Genomic DNA, 8,195 nt, shown 5'->3' with positions numbered 1-8,195 from the left:
CTTTGTTGTTTTAATTTAAGGAGGCACTTCAATTTTAAGCGTTTGTTTCTTATTGCAGAATGAAAGATTGTGTGCCATTAGAGCCATTTCAGGCATCAGCAAACAGTGCTCCTATAAATGTGCCAGCACCCTCCTCATTACTGATGCTAGTAGCCTTTCTCTCTCTCTTTACCTTTTAAAAATGATGAAATATAGGCCAGGTGCTGTGGCTCATGCCTGTAATCACTGCACTTTTGGAGGCCGAGGCAAGAGGAACGCTTGAACCCCGGAGTTTGAGACCAGCCTGGATAACATGGGAAGACCCCGTCTCTACAAAAAATAAAAAAATTAGCCGAGGGTGGTGGCACACACCTGTATTCCTAGCTACTGGGGAGGCTGAGGTGGGAGGATCCTTTGAGCCCAGGAGGTCGAGGCTGCAGTAAGCTGTGACCTTGTCTCAAAAAAAAAAAAAAAAAGAAGGAATTACAACCACCTATATTAGTGGCCTCTTTTCAGGCCTCTTCCAACTTGATCTCACTGATGACTATGCTTTCCTTGAAATTGTCTTATTCAGCTTCCATAATACCCTTTCTTTGTCCTCCCACAGTCTCTTAGGTTGTTCTTTGATTACTCCTCTCTGCTCATCCCATTTGCTGACATCTCCCCTCTCTCTGTCCTTTGTTGTCATCCACTTCCAGATCTCAAGCCTTCATCTCACTCCTTAGCGCCACACAAGTATTTCCTACCTGGTCATTCCACAGGCACTTCAAACTCAGCATGTACAAAATAAACTCATGAGTGGAAGCTCCTGTCCCTACTTGAATCCTTTAATCTGCTCTTCTTCCTGTATTCCCAAACTTTGTTCAAATGAGCAAAAAATTGTATTCTTGACCTCAGATTTTTTCTTTCTATGCCCCACCTTCAGCTGGTTCCCTTGTGCTATTGGTTCTTATTTCTAAATGTCTCTAGTTCATCTTCTCCTCACCATCCCTACGACAGAGGTCTTTATTGTCTCTTGCCTGGGTTTTTGCAAGAGTGTGCCTCCCAGCTGCTCATTCTTCCATCTGTTCCCCATTCCACAGTGCTGCCACTTACTAAAAGGAAGAAAGAAAATCAAAACCTGAGTTACTGGATCATCAAAAGTATTCTTCCTATAGAATAATGATCATTCTGGGCCCCGCACGGTGGCTCACACCTGTAATCCTAGCACTTTGGGAGGCCGAGGCAGGCAAATCACTTGAGGTCAGGAGTTTGAGACCAGCTTGGCCAGCATGGTGAAACTCTGTCTCTACTAAAATATAAAAATTAGCCAGCTGTGGAGGCGCGCACCTGTAGTCCCAGCTACTCATGAGGCTGAGGTGGGAGAATCGCTTGAACCCAGGAGGCAGAGGCTGCAGTGAACCGAGATCATGCCACTGGACTCCAGCCTGGGCAACAGAGCAAGACTCTGTCTCAAAAAATAAATAAATAAATAAGAATAATGATAATTCTGTATAAGAATATATTCCAAGGAAAAGGCATTCCTCAAGCATCTAGCTAGAATTTTGAGTGTTATGTCAAGCTAGTGTGCAAGACCAAAGACACTGCCAACAGGGCTGTTAATTCACAGAAAGAATAGGTGGCATCAGAAAAAGATTAAACAGTGGCAAAACATTGCACTTCCATCCAGTAGAAATATATGACCCTGTAATAGGATTTTTTTTTTTTTTTTTTTTTTTTTTTGAGAAAGGGTCTTGCTTTGTCGTCTAGGCTGGAGTGCAGTGGCGTGACCATGCCTCACTGCAGCCTTGACCTCCTGGGCTCAAGTGATCCTCCCACCTCAGCCTCCCAAGTAGCTGGAACTACAGGCTCATACCACCACACCTGGCTAATTTTTGTATTTTTTATAGAGACAGGGTTTTGCCACAGTGCCCAGGCTAAGGTCATATATTATAAACGCGTATTACACAGTGTTTTACATGCTGCGTTTATGCTCTGAATGGATATCTTTGCATCAGTTCTATGACTTTGTTAGCCTCAGCACCTCAGTGTAAAGGACAAGAGAGAAAAAATTGCCTTTTCTTTGGATACTTCATAATGCTGGTGCTAAGAACAAGTATGAAGATCACAAATTTGTGAAGCTTTCTGAAAAGCTCTCCTGTTAATTTAATCAACAAAGAATGCAAGTAAATTTTAAAAGTAGTGCTACCATCTACTCTATTAGTGGTGTCAATGTTAATCACAGAGTGCAAGGAAATTGAAAAAGTGGTGCCTGTCGCCCACTGTGTTGGTGCTGTGAATGTTTGGCATGCTGCTGACAAGTTAAAAAGAACATGGAAGCCGGGCGCGTTGGCTCACGCCTGTAATCCCAACACTTTGGGAGGCCGAGGCAGGCGGATCACCTGAGGTCAGGAGTTCAAGACCAGCCTGGCCAACATGGCAAAACCCCGTCTCTATTAAAAATACAAAAAAAAAAAGTATCCAGGCATGGTGGTGCGTGCCTGTAGTCCCAGCTACTCGGGAAGCTGAGGCACAAGAATTGCTTGAACCCAGGTAGCGGAGGTTGCAGTGAGCTGAGATTGGGCCACTGCACTACAGCCTGGGTGACAGAGCGAGACTCCGTCTCAATTAAAAAAAGTAAAAAGAACATTGAAAGCACTAATGAAGTTTTTCTGAAAATAAGAAAAATATGGTTCTGAAGGTGAAGCAAACAAGCATCCTTTACCTTTAGGGAAAAGGCATATGAAGAGGATTCACTTAAGTTACAGTTGGCCAATAAACACGAAAAATGTGCAATTTCAATTATAATCAAGTGCCAAACAAGGAAATGCCAGTATTATTATTTTACCTACAAAATGAGCAAAGATGTTTAGAAGTACAATAGAATTCAGCCCTGCTGAGGGTAACAAAAGGAGGGTACTTTTCCGGTGAGGCTTTGTGCAGAAGGCAAATTAATAAAGGGAGCATTCAGTAATTACACCTCTAGGAATCAGCCGTACGAAAATGCAGGATGCATTTATAAATACATACATACACAAAGATTTATGTATGAAGATATTCAGCCCAGCCTTATCTTTTAAATTATCATCTAAATATCAATAGCAGAATGGGCGAGATATCTACACACCAGGATTCATGCCACCATGCCACCATGAATCACTGGGAAAAAACGGTGATATATAAGCATTTAGGGATGTAACATGTTCATCGAGGAAAGGAGGCTACAAAAGTAATGTCTATTTTGAGTTTTAAATTTTTCATGTAACGATTTAGAAACTCATCTAATTTGATAACGTGACTTAGGCAAATCATTCAAATCTTTTTGCGTTTCCTCTGCAATGGCGATTGTGGAGGTTAAATGGGATAACTGGCGTTGAAACGTTCCAGGCCCATGAGCAGGACTCAATGTTCCTTCCCTTCCCCTTTAGTGTATGGCTTCTTACATCTGGGGAAGAGTCCCACCAAAGATCGATTCCAAGCTTCGCTTCTTGGATGAGCGAGGGAAACTAGGCGCTAACTTACCTATTCACCCCCGCGCCCGTTCCCGGCAGCCGGGACTCAGGGAAGCCAGGTAGCCGCGGTGCTCTCAACTCCCTCCCCGCCCGCGCACTTCGAATCCAAACTGCGCGGGGCGAGGCGGGGCGGCGCTCCGATGAGGTAGCTGGCTTGGGAGAGGAGTCCCTTGAGGCTGCCGCCAAGCCAGGGAAGCGGGAGGCGCAGGCCACGCCCGGCCACTCACAGACAGTGACGTCATCCCCCGCCGCCACTCCGGCGCTTCCCAGGCCCTGCTCGCGAGTCCCCACCCCGATTGCGCACCCGCGACTTCAGCCCGAGGGGCGGGGATTTTCTTGGAGCGACGGGACGCGACGCCAATCGCGACGAGGCTTCGCCCCGTGGCGCGGTTTGAAATTTTGCGGGGCTCAACGGCTCGCGGAGCGGCTACGCGGAGTGACATCGCCGGTGTTTGCGGGTGGTTGTTGCTCTCGGGGCCGTGTGGAGTAGGTCTGGACCTGGACTCACGGCTGCTTGGAGCGTCCGCCATGAGGAGAAGGTGCGGGTTGCGGGGAAATCGAGGGGACGCGGGAGGGAGCGACGCTCGTTTCGGCTGCGGGGCCTGTTCAGGGGTGCGGGACCCGTGCGGGGTCCCGGGCCTAGATCGTCACGGCAGTCGGCGCCGAGGGAGGCCGGGGGCGCTGAGGGGCAGGGTCTGGAGGCGGCGAGCCAGTGCGAGGGCCGCGGCGGTGAGACCTGACGCGCTGTCCGCCGGCGGCCGCAGGTGCCCGCAGGCTCAGACGCCCGGGTGGGAGCCGAGCGCCGGTGCCCGGACGCGGCAGGGTAGTCGAGGCCCGGGGCCCGGGGCGGCCTCCACCCAGGCGGTCAGCGCTGGCGCTCGGACCCCACCCTCCCCGCCCGCAGCGTCTCAGGTGCCGCTGCTTGGCGCAGATGACTCGTTGTAAACCTTCTGTGGTCGTGGCTTTTCTTTAAAGCTGTTAAGTTTATTTATCGTTGTTTTTCTTTGTTTTATTCTTTTTTTTTATTTTTGTGGAAACGCGGTCTATGTTGGCCAGGCTGGTCTCGAACTCCTGGCTTCAAGTAATCCTGCCACCTCGGCCTCCCAAAGTGTTGGGATTACAGGCGTGAGCCACCGTGCCCGGCCCGTTGTTTTTCTTTATATCTGGCCAGCGGTGTTAACGTTTTGTTTGAATTGGAAAGATAGCTTTGTTTCTTTGCAAGTTAAGAAACGGATTATGGAATTCTTTTCCGGTCGTTTTAATAACTTCCTAGGCGGTGTTGGGGAGGGACTGTCCGACTTGAAATCGGGACCAGACGGTGACACTGCCACTTACCAACCTTGTGACTTCCAAATATTAACTTTATTTTCTAAAAGTTGTGGATGCAGTTTTCTGATGATACAGCGTTAAATAATGTGTAGTTTTTGGTGGAACTGATTGTTCTAAGGCTTTGTAAGATTCTTCATTTCATGATCACTAATTCTGATCAGTCTTTTTAAAATGCTTGCCCTCAGAATAATGAGAATTGAGTGCCAACATGGTAAAACCTTGTCTTAACTAAAAATACAAAAATTATCTGGCCCTGGTGGCGCGCCTGTACCCCCAGCTTTTCAGGAGGCTGAGGCAGGAGAATCGCTTCAGCCTAGGAGGCAGAGGTTGCATGAGCCGACATCTCGACACTGCACTCCAGCCTAGGCGACAGAGTGAGACTACGTCTCAAAAAAAAAAAAAAAAGTCCATTAACAGTTTATGAATTATGTAGGCATCTCCTCTATCAAGGGATTGAATGAAGCAGGAGAAAACTTACCCTTTAATGTTGGTTCCAGGCTAATGGATATAATTAACTTTTTTTTTTTTTTTTTTTTTTTTTTTTTTGAGACGGGGTCTCACTCTGTCGCCCAGGCTGGAGTGTAGTGGCGAGATTGCTCACTGCAGCTTTGACCTCTGAGGCTCAAACGAAACTCTGGCCAGAATTAATTATGGTTATCGATCCCCGAAACAGGTTGAACTGGAGATCAACAAAGCTCCTTCTCTGGAATGCTAAGAAAAAATAGGGCAGTGGATCAGTGAAGGCTGCCTGAAGGTAGAAAATAATTTAAGGACCACTGTGAGATACCTTCCAGTCCAGTGATTTATGTTCAAGACTGGAAAAACTGACTCATTTTACAACCTTTTTGTCCTTGAGTGGTAGTCTTTGTATGCACTCTTGATTTTTTTCAGTGAATCTAAAAAAAAAACTCAGACTTGCTGCTTTTAGGGGATTATCTGAAACAATTTAGCCAGGGAGTATTTAAGTGTATCATGATAATTGTTCATAATGATTGCTCTGAAGCATCTTAAGATCATACAACTTTTTTGAAATGTCACGTTATTCATTCAAAAAGACTTCTTGGGCCTGGCACAGTGGCTCACACCTGTAATCCCAGCACTTTGGGAGGCCAAGGTGGGAGGATGACTTGAGCCCAGGAGTTCAAGACCAGCCTGGGCAACATAGCAAGACCCTGTCTCTATTTAAAAAATAATAATTTATACTAAAAAAGAAAAGAAAAATACTTCTTGAATGTTTGTTATATACAAGGAACCATTGCAAGTGTTGGGGATATAGCAGTGAGCAAAAGTGACATCCCTGCCCTCACAGAGTTTATATTCTAATAGCAAAAGAGGAGTGTAATAAATAAGTTAGTCTTAAATGGTGGTAAGTGCTATGTAGAGAAATCAAGAGGTTAAGAAGTACTGAAGGTGTAGGAAGGGGGGTTGTGGTTTTAAAGAGATGGGTCAGGAAAGGCCTCCCTGAGAAGGTGATCTCTGAGCAAAGACCTAAGAAGGAAAAGGGTGAAGCCATGCAGCATGGGGGAAAAGAGATCTAGGTAGAGGAATCAGCAAATCCAAGTGCCCTAAGGGGAGATAGCGCCTGGTATGTTCCAGAAAGAGCAAGGAGGTCGCTGTGACAGGAATAGAATGAGCACTGAGGTCAAAAGAAATGGCTTTCAGATGGAATGGGGCTCCATAGGTCTTTGGAAAGTCAGAGGCTTTTCCTTAGAGTGAGATGGCAAGTCGTTGGAGGGTTCTGAGTAGAAGATTAGGACTTGGGGCTCCTGTGTTGACAATGGACTTAAGGAGGCCAGCTTCGAAGCCGGGAGACCAGTTAAGAGGCCCCTGCCATACAGCAAGAAGTTGGTGGTGGTGACCTGGACCAGGGTGGGGGTGGTAGTGGTAGCAGCAGAGGTCAGGAGGAGTGAGATTCTGCCTGTCTTGTGTAGATAATGCTAATGGCGGGCATATAAGAAAGAAGTGTCAAGGATGATACAAGATTTAAGTTTAAAAAAAAAATTAAGTTCAGTACAATTTGAATGTTAGGAAGAGTGAGAAATGTTAGTTTTTAATTTGAAAATGATCCTCTTACAGGAAGTGTCTCTAACTAGAATAATAATAATGGGTGTTTGGTAATTCCAAACACCCATTTCCAACAGGCCAAATAAAATACGTTATATATTAGTAAAATTTTTATTTCTTTTTTTTTTTGGAGACAGTCTTGCTCTGTTGCCCAGGCTGGAGTGCAATGGCATGATCTCAGCTCACTGCAACCTCCGCCTCCTGGGTTCACCGGGTTCAAGTGATTCTCCTGCCTCAGCCTCCTGAGTATCTGGGATTACAGGCACCCACTACCACGCCCAGCTAATTTTTGTATTTCTAGTAGAGATGGGGTTTCACCATGTTGGCCAGGCTGGTCTCGAGCTCCTGATCTCAGGTGATCCGCCCGCCTTGGCCTCCCAAAGTGCTGGGATTGCACACGAGCCACCGCGCCCGGCCATAGTAAAAATCTGTAAGTTTTTCAATTAAGTCACAAATCAAAAACATTTCAGATTATGGGCCGGGCACAGTGGCTCACGCCTGTAATCCCAGCACTTTGGGAGGCCGAGGCGGTCGGATCACGAGGTCAGGAGTTTGAGACCAGCCTGACCAACATGGTGAAACCCCGTCTCTACTAAAAATACAAAAATTAGCCGGGCGTGGTGCCGTGTGCCTGTAGTCCCAGCTACTCAGGAGGCTGAGGCAGGAGAATCGCTTGATCCCAGAAGGCAGAGGTTGCAGTGAGCTGAGATCACACCATTGCACTCCGGCCTGGGTGCCAGACTGAGACTCTGTCTCAAAAAAAGAAAAAAAAAAGAAACCAAAAATGTTTTAGATTATGTGCCAAGATGTTTTTAATAACAGCTTTGAGGTATAATCCACATACCATACAATGTACTTAAATTGTATATTATAATTCAGTGATTTTTAGAATATTCAGAGTTGTGCAATCATCACTGCAATCAATTTTAGAACATTTTTATCACCCCTTTAAAATCCCATTAGCAGTCAATCCCCTTTCACCCCATGGTCCAAATTCTCCCCAGCCGCAACTACAAATCTACTTTTCGGCTAGGCAAGGTGGCGCACACCTATAATTCCAGCACTTTGGGAGCCCAAGGTGGGAGGACTACTTGAGCCCAGGAGTTCAAGAACAGCTTGGGCAACATAGAGAGACTCTACCTCTTAAAAAAAAAAAAAAAATTATTTATTTATTTATTTATTTATTTTATTTTTTATTTTATTTTATTTTATTTTTTGAGATGGAGTCTCACTCTGTCACCCAGGCTGGAGTGCAGTGACGTGATCTCAGGTCACTGCAACCTCCACCTCCCGGATTCAAGCAATTCTCCTGCCTCAGCCTCCCGAGTAGCT

The 8,195-nt window shown here is 46.0% G+C and overlaps 1 protein-coding gene and 1 long non-coding RNA gene across 34 annotated transcripts in view, besides 3 other annotated features; one reads left to right on the top strand and one right to left on the bottom strand.

The window, feature by feature from the left end:
- LOC124903556 (uncharacterized) lies at window positions 791-3,637 on the bottom strand. The gene is made up of 2 exons (XR_007064759.1): window positions 3,481-3,637; window positions 791-1,073 (listed from the first exon to the last, which is right to left on the bottom strand). It is a non-coding gene; the product is annotated as an uncharacterized LOC124903556 (long non-coding RNA).
- Window positions 2,841-3,707: an enhancer, noted in NCBI's record as "NANOG-H3K27ac-H3K4me1 hESC enhancer chr15:91537939-91538805 (GRCh37/hg19 assembly coordinates)". NCBI's record gives its function as "activates a minimal SCP1, AML or CMV promoter by ChIP-STARR-seq in naive H9 embryonic stem cells {active_cell/tissue: H9 hESC(naive)}" and the evidence as "EXISTENCE:reporter gene assay evidence [ECO:0000049][PMID:30033119]".
- Window positions 3,708-4,575: an enhancer, noted in NCBI's record as "NANOG-H3K27ac-H3K4me1 hESC enhancer chr15:91537071-91537938 (GRCh37/hg19 assembly coordinates)". NCBI's record gives its function as "activates a minimal SCP1, AML or CMV promoter by ChIP-STARR-seq in naive H9 embryonic stem cells {active_cell/tissue: H9 hESC(naive)}" and the evidence as "EXISTENCE:reporter gene assay evidence [ECO:0000049][PMID:30033119]".
- Window positions 3,881-8,195, top strand: part of PRC1 (protein regulator of cytokinesis 1) — a 28,496-nt gene continuing 24,181 nt past the window's right edge. For all 33 annotated transcript variants that reach the window (XM_017022714.3, NM_001267580.2, XM_047433314.1 and 30 more), the window contains exon 1: window positions 3,881-4,009. Coding sequence is in view for 32 of the 33 variants with exons in the window: in NM_001267580.2 (NP_001254509.2) it covers window positions 3,999-4,009 (11 nt within the window). In the remaining variant the exon portion in view is untranslated. The remainder of the gene's footprint in view (window positions 4,010-8,195) is intronic.
- Window positions 4,125-4,344: a silencer, noted in NCBI's record as "silent region_6837". NCBI's record gives its function as "represses an Ori minimal core promoter by ATAC-STARR-seq in GM12878 lymphoblastoid cells {active_cell/tissue: GM12878}" and the evidence as "EXISTENCE:reporter gene assay evidence [ECO:0000049][PMID:35858748]".

This window comes from Homo sapiens, chromosome 15, assembly GCF_000001405.40.
Source record: "Homo sapiens chromosome 15, GRCh38.p14 Primary Assembly".
NCBI classification, from domain to species: domain Eukaryota; kingdom Metazoa; phylum Chordata; class Mammalia; order Primates; family Hominidae; genus Homo; species Homo sapiens.
This window is presented reverse-complemented; position numbering and strand designations above follow the sequence as displayed.